The 18591-nt window shown below is 44.4% G+C and overlaps 1 long non-coding RNA gene across 1 annotated transcript in view, besides 4 other annotated features; it reads right to left on the reverse strand.

Annotated features, from left to right (window-relative positions):
- Positions 1 to 18591, reverse strand: part of LRIG2-DT (LRIG2 divergent transcript) — a 61416-nt gene that overhangs the window by 19073 nt on the left and 23752 nt on the right. Inside the window, exon 2 of the long non-coding RNA NR_103777.1 lies at positions 17664 to 17802. This is a non-coding gene — a long non-coding RNA (LRIG2 divergent transcript). The remainder of the gene's footprint in view (positions 1 to 17663; positions 17803 to 18591) is intronic.
- Positions 10960 to 11879: an enhancer, noted in NCBI's record as "OCT4-NANOG-H3K27ac-H3K4me1 hESC enhancer chr1:113584341-113585260 (GRCh37/hg19 assembly coordinates)". NCBI's record gives its function as "activates a minimal SCP1, AML or CMV promoter by ChIP-STARR-seq in naive H9 embryonic stem cells {active_cell/tissue: H9 hESC(naive)}" and the evidence as "EXISTENCE:reporter gene assay evidence [ECO:0000049][PMID:30033119]".
- Positions 11908 to 12202: an enhancer, noted in NCBI's record as "tiled region #8666; K562 Activating DNase unmatched - State 5:Enh". NCBI's record gives its function as "activates a minimal TATA promoter and a strong SV40 promoter by Sharpr-MPRA in K562 cells {active_cell/tissue: K562}" and the evidence as "EXISTENCE:reporter gene assay evidence [ECO:0000049][PMID:27701403]".
- Positions 12063 to 12112: a silencer, noted in NCBI's record as "silent region_1208". NCBI's record gives its function as "represses an Ori minimal core promoter by ATAC-STARR-seq in GM12878 lymphoblastoid cells {active_cell/tissue: GM12878}" and the evidence as "EXISTENCE:reporter gene assay evidence [ECO:0000049][PMID:35858748]".
- Positions 12801 to 13720: an enhancer, noted in NCBI's record as "NANOG-H3K27ac-H3K4me1 hESC enhancer chr1:113586182-113587101 (GRCh37/hg19 assembly coordinates)". NCBI's record gives its function as "activates a minimal SCP1, AML or CMV promoter by ChIP-STARR-seq in primed H9 embryonic stem cells {active_cell/tissue: H9 hESC(primed)}" and the evidence as "EXISTENCE:reporter gene assay evidence [ECO:0000049][PMID:30033119]".

The following is an 18591-nucleotide window of genomic DNA, read 5'->3' on the forward strand; positions in this document are numbered from 1 at the left end:
AGCAACCATTCAAGATGTGCTTAGGGAACAGTGACTACACCAATCTGACACATGTCAGGGAACAATGGGGTGATAAGTTGGGCTCACATTTGGAGAGGCTAAAAAGTCTGTACTTAATTCCATAGATAATTCCATAGAGTGTCTGATATTTTCGTTGAGAAATGACATGATTAAAGTAGTGCTTTAGGGCAATTAATATGGCAACTGCCCGGGTGGTGGGGACAGATTGGAGGGATAAAAGATCTAGGTGCTTCAATGCAGGTGATAGCAGAGCATAACAAAGTCTTCCTACCTCCGCATCAAATGCAGCTCAAGGGAGAACTTCCCACCTAGCACTTACATATTCAATATTTATACTTAACCAATTATGTTTTTAGTTGGTCTTCTTTCTTTTCCAAGCCTGACTCGTGACTCCCGTAATATTAGAGTGAGCTTCCTGAGAACGGGCCCTTAATTGTTCTTTTCCTCTTCCTCCCTTTGTAACAGAGGCCCAAATTCCCTCCACACTGTGTCCAGCCTAGTAGTGAACCTCACTCAGGAGGAACAAACTGACACACAACTTCTGGGTGGGGGCCCAGCCTACACTTTCCTTCTGCTTTGGTTTCAGGCATTTTTGACAACATCTAAAACATCCAATTAATTCAGAGGGTGAAAAAAAAGGAATTGGCAGGCAGGTGGGGATGAACAGATGTGCCTGTGTCATAGTGAAAGACAGATTTGAGTTATGGTCCGTTAAAAAAATTTGTGACATTCATTGAGAAGTTATTGTATGTCAAGCATCTTGTAGTTCAAATGTATTATCTCATTCATCTAGTTGGCAAGCCTATGAGATAGTTTCTATTATTTTACAAATGAGAAAACTGATGCACAGAGAAGTTCAATAATTTGTTAATTATTAATAGCAAGTGGCAGAGTCAAGATTTGAACTATGTCTCTTTACTATTAAAAGTCCATTATTTTGGCCAGGTGCGGTGGCTCATGCCTATAATCTCAGCACTTTGGGAAGGCAGAGGCGGGCAGATTACCTGAGGTCAGGAGTTCCAGATCAGGCTGGCCAACATGGTGAAACCCCAACTCTATTAAAAATACAAAAAGTAGCCGGGCATGGTGGCATGCACCTGTAGTCCCAGCTACTCGGGAGGCTGAAGCAGGAGAATCACTTGAGCTCGGGAGGCAGAGGTTGCAGTGAGCCAAGATCACGCCACTGCACTCCAGGCTGGTTGACAGAGTGAGACTCTGTCTCAAAAAAAGAAAAAAGTCCATTATTTTAACCACCGTAGACTACTGATTCTACATTAGAGACCTAGATATCAAGGCCAGTGTATCTTCAATTCTTTAATCCATACCCTTCTCCTGAAACGCAACAGCACTGTTGCCTGAGTGTTTGTTGAAGAGGTTTATTTCTTTGGTTTAAGACTTTGTTCCCAGAGATTAAATTGCAGATCCCTAACCTTCTCACTACTAAGTAGCTCTTAGGAGTGGATCTCAAAGCTTGAAAAGATTTTAGCCTGCCAGACAAATATCATTAATTAATCCCTTTTCCCTTAAGACAGCCAGGCCTACCACACTACCTTGATGGGTTTCTGGACAAAAAAAAAAAAAAAAAGCAAAGGTAGCATAAATATAATTGATGATTTCTATTAGACTTCTTTGGAAAGGAGAAAACAACTCTTACACCTTCATTAACACCTCCATGGAGCCTCCAGGTTAGTGGTAGTAGGGGTTCAGGACTTACATTAGAAATCCCTGTTTTGACCTTTTCTGTTAGAATGCTTGACTGCCTGGCATTTTCCTATTAATACTAGGATTTTTTTTTCTTTTTTTTTTTGAGACAGAGTTTCTTTCTTGTCGCCCAGGCTGGAGTGCAATGGCATGATCTCAGCTCTCTGCAACCTCCGCATCCTGGGTTCAAGTGATTCTCCTGCCTTAGCCTCCCAAGTAGCTGGGATTACAGGCGCCTGCCACCATGCTTGGCCAATTTTTTGTATTTTTAGTAGAGACGGGGTTTCACCATGTTGGCCAGGCTGGTCTCAAACTCCTGACCTTAGGTGATCCACCCACCTCGGCCTCCCAAGGTGCTGGGATTACAGGCGTGAGCCACCGAGCCTGGCCCTTTTTTTTTTTTTAACTTATCCTATCTCATATATAACAATCCAAGAAATATTAATAGCTATCAGTTAGAATGTGTTTTAAAAAACACTTCCGCTGGCCCAGTGGCTCACGCCTGTAATCCTAGCACTTTGAGAGGCCGAGGTGGGCAGATCATGAGGTCAGGAGTTCCAGACCAGCATGGCCATCATGGTGAAACCCAGTCTCTACTAAAATACAAAAATTAGCTGCGTATGATGTCAGGTGCCTGTACTCCCAGCTACTCGGGAGGCTGAGACAGGAGAATCACTTGAACCTGGGAGATAGTGGCTGCAGTGAGCCAAGATTGCGCCATTGGACTCCAGCCTGGGTGACAGAGCAAGACTCCATCTCAAAAAAAAAAAAAAAAAAAAGAAAAGGAAACATAGGCTGGGCACGGTGGCTCACGCCTGTAATCCCAATACTTTGGGAGGCTGAGGCGGGTGGATCACCTGAGGTCGGGAGTTGGAGACCAGCCTGGCCAACACAGTGAAATCCCATTTCTACTAAAAATACAAAAATTAGCTGGGCATGGTGGCGCACACCTGTAATCTCAGCTACTCGGGAGGCTGATGCAGGAGAATCACTTGAACCCAGGAGGTAGAGGTTGCAGTGACTTGTGATCACGCCACTGCACTCCAGCCTAGGTGACTGAGGGAGACTCCCTCTAATAAAAAAAAAAAAGGATTTAATAAACAAATGAGAAGTGATAGGAGATTTTAGCAGATACCTATTCTGCTCTGCTGTGGTGGAGCCTAGCCTTAGGACATGAGACACTACTCTATAAGCCTAGGACCCCGACTCTGGCTGTGGCTGTGGATGCTTCTGAACAGTGCTAAGTGGAAGCCCATGAAAGAACAGACTGTTCTCAAGGCCCATGGAGGAAAAGATGTTACAAGCCATCCCTCCAGATTCCTGGACAAGCTCTGAGTCCCTGCCCAGAAACCAAAAGGTAAGTATAAGTGGGCCAAATGCAAGAACTCCAGGTTTTCAGTCTTTACCACTGACCAACAAAATGACCGGATTTTTTTTTTTTTTTTTTTTTGAGATGGAGTCTCACTCTGTCACCCAGGCTGGAGTGCAGTGGCATGATCTTGGCTCACTGCAACCTCTGCCTCCCAGGTTCAAGCAATCTCCTGCCTCAGCCTCCGGAGTAGCTGGGATTACAGGCATCTGCCACCACGCCTGGCTAATTTTTGTATTTTTTAGTAGAGATGGAGTTTCTTTTTTTTTTTTTTTTTTTTTTTTTAGACGGAGTCTAGCTCTGTCACCAGGCTGGAGTACAGTGGTGCAATCTTGGCTCGCTGCAACCTCTGCCTCCCTGGTTCAAGCGATTCTCTTGCCTCAGCCTCCTGAGTAGCTGGGACTACAGGCATGTGCTACCACGCCCAGATAATTTTTATATTTTTAGTAGAGACGGGGTTTCACCATATTGGCCAGGATGGTTTTGATCTCTTGACCTCGTGATCCACCCGCCTCAGCCTCCCAAAGTGCTGGGATTACAGGTGTGAGCCACCGTGCCCAGCTAAAATGACCTTTGACATCTGGCCTGACCTCTCTGTTTCTTCCTTTTTTGTTAAATGAGTACTCAAATAAACAATAATAGGGCCAGGCACGGTGGCTCACGCCTGTAATCCCAGCACTTTGGGAGGCCAAGGCGGGTGGATTACCTGAGGTCAGGAGTTCAAGACCAGCCTGGCCAACATGGTGAAACCTCGTCTCTACTAAAAATACAAAAATTAGCTGGGCATGGTGGCACATGCCTGTAATTCCAGCTACTCGGGAGGCTGAGGCAGGAGAATCGCTTGAACCTGGGAGGCGGAGGCTGCAGTGAGCCGAGATCGCGCCACTGCACTCCAGCCTGGCAACAGAGCAAGACTCTGTCTCAAAAACAACAACAACAACAACAACAACAACAAACAACATTAATAGCTTCCATGGCCAGGCACTTTTTAAGATAATTTACATAAATTTTAAAAGTAGTATTAGTAAAAAAAGAATAATATTTTAATTTATAAAACATTACTCTCATTTTATAAATTAGAAAACTCAGGCCAGGCGCAATGGCTCATGCTTGTAATCCCAACACCTTGGGAGGCCGAGGTGGGCAGATCACAAGGTCAGGAGTTCGAGACCAGCCTGACTAAACTGTTTTTAGTTTCTACTAAAAATACAAAAATTAGCCAGGCATGATATCATGCGTGCCTGTAGTCCCAGCTACTCGGGAAAAGAAAAAGAAAAAAGAGAGAAAAAAAAAGAAAACTGAGGCACAGAGAGATTCAGTACCTTGCCCAAGAGTGCCCAAGTATTTGTGTACATGACTGAGTCAGGCTGTGTGACTCCAAGGTGAGTAACCTATGCCAGTTACTGGGAATGGGCTGAAAGGGTTTGCAAAGGAAGCTGAAGACCATTCTCACCCTGCCCTGGGGGAATCATGGAATGGTGCCAAATAGAAAAGGCAAGTTTAGGCTGTTCTAGGTTTCCCCTTCCAGAAATGACGTTGGCCTAAAACCATGGTCGTCAAATGTTTTTGTTCTTATATTTTGTAAGAGACTTGAAAAACCATGTACCCCCTTGTACGTTTTAAAGTTAGCAACTGACATTTTTCATTGTAAGTTTAAAGAGCTGTAAGATAGAATTACTGGCTTTTTGTGATTAATATAATAAAACTATGAAAGCACTTTGTTTTGTTTTTTGGAGAAGGAGTCTCACTCTGTTGCCTAGGCTGGAGTGCAATGGCATGATCTCGGCTCACCGCAACCTCCGCCTCCCAGGTTCAAGCGATTCTCCTGCCTCAGCTTCCTGGCTAATTTTTGTATTTTTAGTAGAGACGGGGTTCCACCTGGCTGGCCAGGCTGGTCTTGAACTCCTGACCTCAGGCGATCTGCCCGCCTCGACCTCCCAAAGTGCTGGGATTACAGGCTTGAGTCACTGAGCCCAGCCGAAAGCACCCTTTTAAAGGAATCTACAGGAATATAAATATAGTAATTTGATATTACCATCATCAATTTAGAAAATTCATGACTACACTTTTTTTTTTAAATTTTTATCTTTATATATTTATTTGAGACAAGGTCTTGCTCTGTTGTCCAGCCTAGAGAGCAGTGGCACATCACAGCTCACTGCAGTCTCAAACTTCTGGGCTCAAGCCATCCTCCCAGCTCTCATATCACACTCTTTAATTTTACATTATTTCTTTTTTTTTTTTTTGAAATCATATTTTGAATCCATTTCTATGTAATCTTGTACTAATATAATTAGTGATTAAAAACATTTTATGGCCGGGCACAGTGACTCGTGCCTGTAATCTCAACACTTTGAGAGGCCGAGGTGGGCAGACCACCTGAGATCGGGAGTTCGAGACCAGCCTGACCAACATGGAGAAACCCCGTCTCTACTAAAAATACAAAATTAGCCGGGCATGGTGGTGCATTCCTGTAATCCCAGCTACTCGGGAGGCTGAGGCAGGAGAATCGCTTGAACCCAGGAGGCGGAGGTTGCAGTGAGCCGAGATCGTGCCATCGCACTCCAGCCTGGGGGACAAGAGTGAGACTTCGTCTCAAAAAAAAAAATTTGGAATTGTCCCTTTGATGCCTTACATGCTTTTTTCACCCCAGAGTAATGCATCATTTGTCAGGATTAGGGAAGAGTAAGAGATAAACTTTTTTTGATAAAGTGAGAAGAGGGCAATTGAGAAAATGAGATGGGAAAAGAAAATCAGGGCTGCAGATGTCCTCTGGGGCGCATCAAATTGAGGATCTAGAAATTGATTTCTTTGAAACTAACCACTGCCCTGTACTCCTTGGAAAGTATTTACATACCTACCCTAACCACTACTGGCAGCCCTAATGATCTCCATGTTAAATGTGTTTCTCCCAGCCACACCTGCCCAGAGGGAGAAACTGGGTCATGGTAGCAGTAACCAAGCAGTGCTCTTTGTTCCTTACCCCACCAGATTTACACAACCTATAACCCTCTCAGTGATCTTCTGAGTCATTCTGGAGTCTCTGGGGGTAGATTTCATATGCTCACTAATTGGTCTTCTTGGCCTCTTGGTGGTTTCTGCTCATTTCATTCATCTCCTATAGCTTGGCACAGTAGAACTGCTAGCCTCTTAGCTGCCAGAGCCAAACAGACTGTTCCATGTGAGAAAACCAACCTCCAGATTCCTGGGGCGTTTCTGGTGTAGTGACCTTCCAGAGGGAAATCTACCCCTACTCCTATCCAGTACTCTTCCCTGCCATGAGGGGATTTAGAAGGGAAAGCACTCCCTGCTGACAGTTCTTACAGGGGTTTGTGAAACAAATAATCCCATTTGGTCACCCTTTTGGTTGAGAAGTGGTGATAAATGCTCGAAGTGGTCTGAAGTGCCAGGTGCTATAAAAGAACAGAAAGGGGCCTGTGATCCCTGACTGCACTTTATATTTCAGCATTACCCACTATTTTTTCATATCCCACGACTCAAGATTCCCTCTCAAGTCTTTGCTCTTTGATCTCCTTGATGAACTCACATTCACCCTTCAAATCTCATCTCAATCCCTTCTTTCAGGATGTGTTCCCATTCCGCTAATGCCCTTGAGGGTTTTCTGCTATCTCCATGCTTTTACTACATTTTGGTTTATTTGCTCTTACTATATATTTTCTTGTTAGTCTTTGTATCCAGTTAAACTATGGGCTCCTGAGGGTGTTGGGACTCAGGAGATACCACATTTAAGTATGACTGTAGGAGACAGAAATATGCCACCCCAAAACATGCCTTTTTGGCATATTAATAATTTCCGGCTGGTTATTTTGAGAAATTGCAGACATAGGAGTAGCTTTGGAAAGTTACTCTTGTAAGAGAAATGTGCAGTTGACCCTTGAACAACATGGGTTTGAACTGCACAGGTCCACTTATACTCAGATTTTTTCTTTTTTTTGAGACAAAGTCTCACTCTGTCACCCAGGCTGGAGTGCAGTGGCACGATCTTGGCTCACTGCAACCTCCACTTCCTGGGTTCAAGCGATTATCCTGCCTCAGCCTCCTGAGTAGCTGGGATTACTGGTATGCACCACTACACTGGCTAATTTTTTTTTTTTTTGAGATGGAGTTTTGCTCTTGTCACCCAGGCTGGAGTGCAATGGCATGATCTCGGCTCACCGCAACCTCCGCCTCTTGGGTTCAAGCGATTCTTCTGCCTCAGCCTCCTGAGTAGCTGGGATTACAGGCATGTGCCACCATGCTCAGCTAATTTTGTATTTTCAGTAGAGACGGGGTTTCGCCATGTTAGCCAGGATGGTCTCGATCTCCTGACCTCGTGATCCACCCGCCTCGGCCTCCCAAAGTGCTGGGATTACAGGCGTGAGCCACCGCGCCCAACCCAGAAATGTTTTTTAAATTAAGAAAAAGTTGGGCCGGGCACGGTGGCTCACGCCAGTAATCCCAGCACTTTGGAAGGCCAAGGAGGGTGGATCATGAGGTCAGGAGAGCGAGACCATCCTGGTTAACACGGTGAAACTCCATCTCTACTAAAAAAGAAAAATACAAAAAATTAGCCAGGCATGGTGGTGGGTGCCTGTAGTCCCAGCTACTTGGGAGGCTGAGGTGGGAGAATGGCGTGAACCCGGGAGGCGGAGCTTGCAGTGAGCCGAGATCGCGCCACTGCACTCCAGCCTGGGCGACAGAGCGAGACTCCATCTCAAAAAAAAAAAAAAAGAAAAAGTTGAGTGTGTCATAAATGCATAAAATATATGTAGATACTAGTGTACTTTATTATTTACTGCCATAAAAGATATATAAATCCATTATAAAAAGTTAAAATTTATCAGAGGCCAGGCATGGTGGCTCACACCTATAATCCCAGCACTTTGGGAGGCCACCAGGCGGATCACCTGAGGTCAGGAGTTCGAGACCAGCCTGGACAACATAGTGAAACCCTGTCTCTACTAAAAATACAAAAAATTAGTCGGGCGTGGTGGCACATGCCTGTAATCCCAGCTACTTGGGAGGCTGAGGCAGGAGAATTGCTTGAACCCGGAAGGCGGAGATTGCAGTGAGCCGAGATCATGCCATTGCACTCCAGCCTGGGTAACAGAGCAAGACTCTGTCTCAAAAAAAAAAAAAAAAAAAAAAATCAAAACTTACACATAAGTACACTTACAAACACTTGCACCATTCACAGTGGAAATAAATGCAAACAAATATAGAGATGCAGTATTAAATCATAACTGCATACAATTAACTGTAGTAGGCTGGGCACAGTGGCTCACACCTATAATCCCAGCACTTTGGGAGGCTGAGGTGGGTAGATCAATTGAGGTCAGGAGTTCAAGACCAGCCTGGCCAACATGGTGAAACCCCATCTCTACTAAAGATACAAAAAACAATCAGCCGGGAATGGTGGTGCACGCCTGTAATCCCAGCTACTTGGGAGGCTGAGGCAGGAGAATCGCTTGAACCTGGCTACTCGGGAGGCTGAGGCAGGAGAATTGCTTGAACGCAGGAGGCGGAGGTTGCAGTGAGCTGAGATTGTGAACATTGCCCTCCAGCCTGGGCAACAAGAGTGAAACACTGTCTCAAAAAAAAAAAAAAGTGATCTCTCAGTTCTCACATAGTTTTCATCATGTTTAGTGCAATACCATAAACCTTGAATAACACCTTGGGACCATATGAAGTGCCATTAGTGATGCTGGAAGTGCTCCCAAGAAGCACAGAATAGTTATATCATTACAACAAAAAGTTGAATTGCTTGATATTTCCACAGATTGAGGCCTGCAGCTTGTACTTGTCTGCCATTTCGAGATAAATGAATCCAGCATAAGAACCATTAAAAAAAAAAAAAAAGGAAAGGAAATTTGTGAAACTGTCACTGCAGCTATACCAGCAGTCATGAAAACCTTGCACTTTTTGCAAACTACCTTTATATCTTGTATTGAAAATGCAACTTTTATATTGCATTTATTTTATATTTATTTTGGTGCAATATATTTATATTGGTGCGGTATTGCTATAAGAAATTCATACGTATATAGTCTAATATGATTCCAGAAAAAGCAAAGTCATTATATGACAACTTGAAGCAAAAAGAAGGTGAAATCTAAAGCGAGAGAATTTAATGCTAGCAAATGATTGTTTGGTAATTTTAGAAAGAGGTTTGGGTTTAAAAATGTCAAGATAACAAGAGAATTATTAGCTTCTGTCAACTAAGAGGCAGCAGATGATTTTCCAGACGTTATGAAAATCATTGAGGAAAAGGGATATCTACCTGAATAGGTTTTTAATGCAGATGAAAGTGCTTGATTCTGGGGAAAAAAATGACCCAAAGGACATTTATTAGTAAGGAAGAGAAGCGAGCACCAGGATTTAAGGCAGGAAGAGATAGGCTAACTCTACTGTTTGTACAAATGCAGTCAGGTTTAGATTAAGACTGCCCTTATCTGTAAAGCTGCTAACCCTCAAGCTTTGCAGGGAAAAGATAAATACCAGCTGCCAGTCTTTTAGTTGTGGAACAAGAAGGCCTGGATAATGAGAATCCTTTTCTCTGGATTGGTTCCACTGATGCTTTGTCCCTGAAGTCAGCAAGTACCTTGCCAGTAAGGGACTGCGTTTTAAAGTTCTTTTGATATTGGACAATGCCCCTGGCCACCCAGAACCTCATGAGTTCAACACCAAAGGTGTCAAAGTGGTCTATTTGCCCCCAAATATGTCTCTAATTCAGCCTCTAGATGGGGGGTTCATAAGGACCTTTAAGGCTCATTACACATGATACTCTATGGAAAGGATTGTCAACAGTATGGAAGATAACCCTGATAGGAACATCATGACAGTCTGGAAGCATTACACCATTGAAGACATCATCATTGTTACAGAAAAAGCTATGAAAGCCATCAAGCCCAAAACAATAAATTCCTGCTGGAGAAAACTGTGTCCAGATGTTGTGCATGACTTATCAGGATATATGACAGAAGCAATCAAGGAAATCATGAAAGAGATTGTGGATGTCCCAAAAAAGGTGGGAGATAAAGGGTTTCAAGATACAGATCTTGGATAAATTCAAAAGCTAATAGACACCACACCTGAGGAATTAACAGAAGATGACTTGATGGAGATAAGTGCTTCCAAACCAGAGCCAGATGAAGAGGAAGAACATGTAGAAGCAGTAGTTCTAGAAAACAAATTGACATTAGACAATCTGGCAGAAGGGTTCTGATTATTCAAGGCTGCTTTTGACTTCTTTTACAACATGAGCCCTTCTGTGATATGGACACTAAAACTAAAGAAGGATTGGTACCATATATGGAGGCTGGGAAGTCCCAAGATCAAGCTGCCAAAGAGGGCTGGTTCCTCATAAATGATGCTTTCTAAATGTGTCTCACAGTCTCCCTCCAGCTCTGTTTTTTGAGACGGAGTCTTGCTCTGACGCCCAGGCTGGAGTGCAGTGTCGCGATCTCAGCTCACTGCAACCTCCGCCTCCTGTATTCAAGCGATTCTCTTGCCTCAGCCTCCTGAATACCTGGGACTACAGGCATGCGCCACCACGCCCAGCTAATTTTTTAATATTTTTCGTAGAGATGTGGTTTCACCATGTTTGCCAGGCTGGTCTAGAACTCCTGACCCAAAGTGATCTGCCTGCCTCAGTCTCCCAAAGTGCTGGGATTACAGGCGTGAGCCACCACGCCAGGCCCCCCAGCCTCTTTTATAAGGCCACTAATCCCATTCATGGGGGCTGTAGCCTTCTGACCTAATCAATTCCTAAAGTCCCCATCTCTTGATTGGTATCACATCAGGGACTAAATTCCAACAGATGAATTTGTGGGGACATCAACATTCAGACCATAGCAGCACTTCTGTCTGTCTTGTTATCTTCTGCTGCATAAACAGAAGGGAGTAGTGCCTTTAAATCAGCCCAAGCGCCTCTGGGTATCTTGAAGATAACCAGCTCTTTCCACAGGCCTTTGTGACTCTGGAGGTTCTCAGATCTGGAGGGTGCTAAGGAGGGGACAGGTCAGAAGCCTCTGGGCATGAGTTGTTGGACACAGCCAAGGTCAGAAGAATTCTTGATTTTTAAGTAGGTAGAGCATCCATCTCTGCTGGAGGGGAAAGGAGGGGCCTTCTGTGATTCTTCTGCCAGTTGGGATGAAAGAAACAGTCAATGGAGAACCAGCCTATTATCTGAGCTCAGCCCTCTCCAAACAATGCTCTTGTTGATACATTCTCTGCTTCTTTTTCAAGGGGAGGGAACAGCTGTAGGCTGATCTATGAAATCTTCTGGCCTGGAATTGGAAGGATCTGGCCTGACTCTTCTGGGGGAGGCCATCATATCAGGATGTTATCCAAGCAAGCCCCTGGCTCAGATCTATACATTCTATTTCACTGCATTTGTGTACAGCAGTGCTGCTCAAAATGTGGTCAGTCCTCCACTGGCATCATTAAAATACCTTAGGAGTGTTAAGAATGCAAATTCTTGGGCCCCGGGAATTCCTGGGTAAGGCCCAGGAAGCTGTGGTTTAACAAGCTCGCCAGGTGATTTTTATGTTATGCTAAACTATGAAAAGTACTGCTATGTGGGATTCTCTCTCTCTCTCACACACACATACACATACACGCACACCACACAGCTACCTAAAACTCCTGCAGCTGCTAATGCCACTTGGTCATTTTCCTGTGGTTTTCCTCAGCAGGGCCCTGGGATTTGTTTTTCTCCACTGTGGACCTTGTTCATTTCCTGCTGCTTCCAAGAGGTTGGGAGAGGAAAGAGAGCAGGAATGAAGGCGGGAGGGGGAAGGGGTTAGCTAAGGCAGTGTAGCTTTCAAGAATGAAAAGGAAAAAGCTTAGTGACAGTGTTCCTTTGTGAAGAATTCAGCTTTATGTTGATGGAGCTGCAAGTCATTAGCAACCCAGGCATATGGCCCGAGTTGACCGGGTCATTCTCCGGGGCCAGATCGCCCTCTGCTGCTGACTGATAAATAACACTCTGGGACTCGAACTGCCAAGGAAAAGAGGAAGAGTCTCTGGGGCTAGGGTGGGAGGGAAAGAGGACATGACTAAGGCTAAGAGATCACAAAGTCACCAGGCTGTAGAAGAATCTTGTTAAATTCCTGTGTGCAGGAAAGGAAGAAGTAGCCAAATGAGCGGGCGTTTCTAGGACTCATTCAAGAAACAGTAGGATTCACCCAAGATCTCCACTAGCTCCTGTGATCCTAGCTCCCAGCTTAATGAGGCTCTGCAACCATTCTCCCTTTTATTCCTCACCTTTACCTCACTTGGAACATAAAGGGTGTTTAAAATGGGAAGACAGGCTGGGTGTGGTAGCTCACGCTTGTAATCCCAGCACTTTGGGAGGCCCGGGCGGGTGGATCACCTGAGGTCAGGAGTTCCAGACCAGCCTGACCAACATGGTGAAACCCCGTCACTCCTAAAAATGCAAAAATTAGCCAGGCATGGTGGCGCACGCCTGTAATCCCAGCTTTTCGGGAGACTGAGGCAGGAGAATCGTCTGAACCTGGGAGGCAGAGGTTGCAGTGAGCCAAGATCGCACCATTGTACTCCAGCCTGGGCAACAAGAGCGGAACTCCGTCTCGGAAAAAAAAAATAATTAAAAATAAAATGGGAAGACAGCCACAAAAAAGAAAAAAATGACAAAGTTTTGGTGTCGAGGCATTTAGGGGCAATTAGGCTTTTCAGAGGTTTTTGTTTGTTTTTTTGTTTTTGTTTTTTAATCTCCTTGTCTCAGACTTTCTTTGTTTCTTTTGCCTCCATGAAAGCCCTGTGTCTTTCAGTCTTTCTTCTCCTGCCAGGGAACTCTTACTCCACAGCTGTGGAGTCAGCCCTTCTCAGCCCTTCTCAGCCCTTGCCCCACTTTATTGCAGTTGGGAATGACAGTTCATGTGGGTCACTGGTGAAGAGAGCAAAGATTTGTTCACAGAATAAAAGCTCAGGCACAGCAGTTGCTCTGCCAGCCATGGGCAGTGACCCATTTCCTCCTTCTTCTTGCCTTTGTCCCTTCCCAGCTCAGACTATAGCTGGTCACTGAAGGTCTTCACCCCTCTACCACTCACCCTTGCGACTCCTGCTGGGAAGATAACTTCAGAGTCAGGTCTGGAAAATTACTTAAATCGCCCTAAGGGGCTGAGGTGGAGTAGGGGGAGGGGTGTAGGAGGTGGAGAATTGGGGGTGGAGATGAGAGTGCAGGTGGGCTGGAGATCAGTGCCATAGCCAAATTCTTCAGAATGTTTTCGTGTCAGCTCAGCACGATGGCTCATGCCTGTAATCCCAGCACTTTGGAAGGCCGAGGCAGGTGGACTACCTGAGGTCAGGAGTTCGAGACCAGCCTGACCAACATAGTGAAACCCAGTCTCTACTAAAAATACAAAAAATTTGCCGGACGTGGGGGCGGGTGCCTGTAATCCCATCTACTCGGGAGGCTGAGGCAGGAGAATCGCTTGAACCCAGGAGGTGGAGGTTGCAGTGAGCCGAGATCCCACCACTGCACTCCAGCCTGGGCTCGACAGTGCGAGACTCCATCTCAAATAATAATAATAATAATAATAATAAAACAAATAGAATGTTTTTGTGTCATGAAACACTCTAGCCTCTCCCCCAAGCACCCTCATGTATAGGGTGAGTCCATCTAAGTGAGGCCAAGCCCTTTAACCAAAACAAACATCTTTAAATAAAATTTTATTTGCTTCGTTTTTGGTCTACATGGGACCAAATATCTGAATCTACCACATTTGGATAATTTTGCCAATATTACCCCAAATATATGCTGGTTATCTGTTCGTATCACTACCTTGTGGTTATGGTACTTGAAGGACAATTTCGTCACTCCTAAGTCTTCATCGTGAGCAAGGTTTTTTGCATCTCTGGAGCAATAGTGTGCCTGAGTTGACTATAATCATGGGCGCTTTTGTTGGCAAGATGTGGGACTGGTCTCTGCACATACAGGCAGGTAGGGGGTTAAAGAGAAGAATGGTTACTAGAAGGCATGAATCACTTACATAATTTGCAGGGCTAAGTGTAGAATGAAAATTCAGGATATCTTTTATTCAAAAATTATTAAGAATTTCAAGATGATGACAGCAGAACACTAAGCATGAAGCCCCTTCTAAGACTGGGGACCTGTGTGATGGCATAGGTCACAGGCCCATGAAGCCAGCCCTGGTAGAAGGTACCCTAGGGAGGGTGTGGGCTAACAGATTCAAAGAGCAATGGGACATCCCCTTGTGTTTAGATTTTCCTCAATTTTAGTGTCATTCCCTTCTGTGATCCTCAAAACTTCTGTCAGGCTTTTTTTTCCTGGCACCTACTTGTTGGTTTTAGGTATTCTTTGGGGAGTAAAGGGTAGAGCCTGTGTCCAGGCTTGGGGAACCACATCTCGGGGAGAAAGCAACAGCAGTCAGGGAGAAGTCAGTCCCTAGATGGCATCAGGTGACCTGAGAGCTATGGAGCACAGCAAGGGTGGCAAATGTACTTGGGGAGGACACCTGCAAATGCCAGGGTCATATTGACTTTCTCCCAGTATTCCTGCCACAAACAAACAAACAATTAAGTAAAGGGAAGTCTAATAATAAGAATTAGCCTCTCAGGCCGGGCGCGGTGGCTCACACCTATAATCCTAGCACTTTGGGAGGCCCAGGCGGGTTGATTGCCTGAGCTCAGGAGTTTGAGACCCGCCTGGGCAACATGGCAAAAGCCCGTCTCTACTAAAAATACAAAAAATTAGTCGAGTGTGGTGGTGTGTGCCTGTAATCCCAGCCACTCAGGAGGCTGAAGCAGGAGAATCGCTTGAACCTGGGAGGCAGAGGTTGTAGTGAGCCAAGATTGCGCCATTGCACTCCAGCCTGTGTGACAGAGCGAGACTTTGACTCAAAAAAAAAAAAAAAAAGAATTAGCTTGTCATATTCCAGAGAAGACGATTGGAATCATTGAAATTTGTATATTAAAGAAAATGTCGGCCGGGCATGGTGGCTCATGCCTTTAATGCAGGCACTTTGGGATGCCAAGGCGGGTGGTCACGAAGTCAGGAGATCGAGACCATCCTGGCTAATACGGTGAAACCTCATCTCTACTAAAAATACAAAAAATTAGCTGGGCGTGGTGGCACGCGCCTGTAGTCCCAGCTACCTGGGAGGCTGAGGCAGGAGAATTGCTTGAACCTGGGAGGCAGAGGTTGCAGTGAGTCAAGATTGCACCACTGCACTCCAGCCTGGGTGACAGAGCAAGACTCCGTCTCAAAAAAAAAGAAAAGAAAATGTGGCTGGGGACAGTGACTCACGCCTGTAATCCCAACACTTTGGGAGGCCTAGGTGGGTGGATCGCTTGAGGTCAGGAGTTCGAGACCAGCCTGGCCAACACAGTGAAACCCTGTCTCTACTAAAAAAAAAAAAAAAACATAAAAATTAGCCTGACGTGGTGGCTCATGCCTGTAATCCCAGCTACTTGGGAGGCTGAGGCAAGAGAATGGCTTGAACCCAGGAGGCAGAGGTTGCAGTGAGCCAAGATGGCGCCACTGCACTCCATCCAGACTGGGAGACAGAACAAGACTCTGTCCCAAAAAAAAAAAAAAAAAAAAAGAGAAAATGTAACCTGATTCTGTAGTCTCAGGCTGATGAATTTTGGAACACTTAGCCGTATAATCAGGTGTCACTGGTATGGCATACTCCACAGTTTGGGATATAAATATAGTCTCATCTTTTATTTTTCCATTAATCACTTGAGAGCCCAACTGCAGTTAGTGGCAGGAGGTCCAGTATCTCCCTGGAGACCTTCCTACCAACCCTCTGAATTGTTCAAGAACAAGGGCTTCTGCCTGTCTTGTCAGGTCCTTGGGAGAGAGTGGAGGAGATGGTGTTCTCGTGTTAATTGAGGCTGAGAAAGCAGCACTGCTCACGTTTTGCTTTATTTTCTTCCTCTCCTAGGCAGAATCAGTGTTACATTTGTGGTCAGATGAGCTAACGACATCCTTCCTGACTTCTTTCTCAGAATTAGGAAACCCTGATTAGCATTTAGAACCTCATTTTCACAGACTTCACTCATTAAAACATCAAGACCTAGGTAACGCACCACTGAAATTTCATAATATGGAGGATATGTTTAAATATGTTTAAAATATGTATTTTTAACTGTGGTTAAAATATGTTTTTAAAATGTTTATGAGTCAAAATAATTAAAATTGCCATTTAACGTAAGAATTGATTGTTGCTTCTTCTTCTTCTAAGAGAGATGACAAAATTCTGTTTGGTGGGGAAATAAATCTCTATCTTATTCCCTGCTCTTCCCAGAAGCTATTGGGGGAGGCAAAAGGAAAAGAGAGCTCGAAGTGGTCCTGAGGGGTTGGATCTGGGGAAAATGCTCACAGGATAGCAGGGCACAGTCACAAAGCTAGCTCTGCAAAGAAGGCCTGGGGTTGAATAGGGGGTAGAGAAGTCAGTTGCTTGTGTAACAAAATTGAGGGGAATTGAGTTTCTGGGGAGGCCAAGGGAAAAGGAAGAGGTGCCCGAAAATGGAATTAGCAAGGAGGAGTTGGGAAAGAAATGATGGTCAGATGCACTTTTGCAGTGTTTCTGTCTCTCCACTGTAAACCTCCTCCCTCTCCAGGGTCTGATATACACACCAATACCTTTGGCTAATAACTAATAAAACAAGTAATTATGTAACATTTGCATGTACCATACTGTTCTATGTATTTTACATACATGAACTTATTTAATTGTCATAATCTTATGAAGTTGGTACTGTCATTATTCCATTTTCATAGATGAAGAAAATGAGGCACAGAGGGTGAGTAATTTGCCTATGAATACTCAGTTAATATTCTGAAGCCTCACTGGATATTAACATGCTATTATTTATTTAAATGTCAGTAATCCAATAGGTTAAAAACCATTGGTGAGAATGTAAATTACTACAACCTCTATGGAAAACAGTATGGAGATTTCTCAAAAAACTAAAAATAACTACCATTCTATCCAGTAATCCCGCTACTGGGTACCTACCCAAGGGAACATAAATCATTATATCAAAAGGACACCTGCACTCATATGATTATCTCAGCACTATTCACAATATCAAACATATGGAATCAACCTAAGTATCCATCAACCATAATTGGATAAAGAAAATGTGGTATATATACTCAACGGGATACTATTCAGCCATAAAAACAAATGAAATCATGTCTTTTGCAGCAATGTGGATGGAGCTGGAGGCCATTATCTTAAGTAAAACAACTCACACACAGAAAGTCAAATAACACATATTCTCACTTACAAGTGGGAGCTAAATAATGTGTACACCTATACATAGAGTGTGGAATGACGGAGCTTCAGAATGGTGGGAGGGGTTGAGGGTTGAGAAATTACTTAATGGGTACAATGTACACATTATTCAGGTGACAGATACACTAAAAGCCCAGACTTTGGCCGGGCGCAGTGGCTCACCCCTGTAATCCCAGCACTTTGGGAGGCCAAGGCAGGCAGATCACTTGAGACTGGGAGTTCAAGACCAGCCTGACTAACATGGAGAAGCCCCATCTCTACTAAAAATACAAAATTACCTGGGCTTGGTGGCACATGCCTGTAATCCCAGCTACTCAGGAGGCTGAGGCAGGAGAATCGCTTGAACCTGGGAAGCAGAGGTTGCGGTGAGCCGAGATCGCGCCATTGCACTCCAGCCTGGGCAACAAGAGCAAAACTCTGTCCAAAAAAAAAAAAAAAAAAAAAAGCCCAGGCTTCACCACTACAAAATATAACCATGTAACAAAACCACACTCCTTAAACTGTATTTCTTAAATTTATACAAATGAAAAAAACCTGGGAGATATTTAATGCTAAGAACACTGTGCAGGAGGCTTTAAATACATTTTCTCAGGCCGGATGCGGTGTCTCAGGCCCATAATCCCAGCACTTTGGGAGGCCGAGGCAGGCGGATCACAAAATCAGGAGATCAAGACCATCCTGGCCAACATGGTGAAACCCCGTCTCTACTAAAAATACAAAAATTAGCTGGGCATGGTGGTGCATGCTGTAGTCCCAGCTACTCGGGAGGCTGAGGCAGGAGAATCGCTTGAACCCGGGAAGCGAAGGTTGCAGTGAGCCGAGATCACACCACTGCACTCAAACCTGGTGACAAAGCGAGACTCCGTCTCAATAAACAACAACAACAACAACAACAAAAATGTTCTCATTTAACTCTAGCAACAATCTTGTATGGCAGCTATTACTATCCTCACTCCACAAACGAAGAAACTAAGGCATAATAAAATTAAGAATTTGCCACAAACCATACCACAATACTCAGGATTTGAACACAGATCTGGCAGACTTTTCCACCCATATGCTTAGTCACTAAGCACACTGCCTTTCAGAAGAAAGAAGACCTGGTCAGTACTTTCCTAAGTTAAACGGTGCTTTAACAAACGGTTAAAGACTCTGGGTCTGTTTAACTTAGAGAAGTAAAGGGAGTGGAGCTATTTTAAAATATTT

The sequence above is a fragment of the Homo sapiens genome, chromosome 1 (genome assembly GCF_000001405.40).
Source record: "Homo sapiens chromosome 1, GRCh38.p14 Primary Assembly".
NCBI lineage: Eukaryota > Metazoa > Chordata > Mammalia > Primates > Hominidae > Homo > Homo sapiens.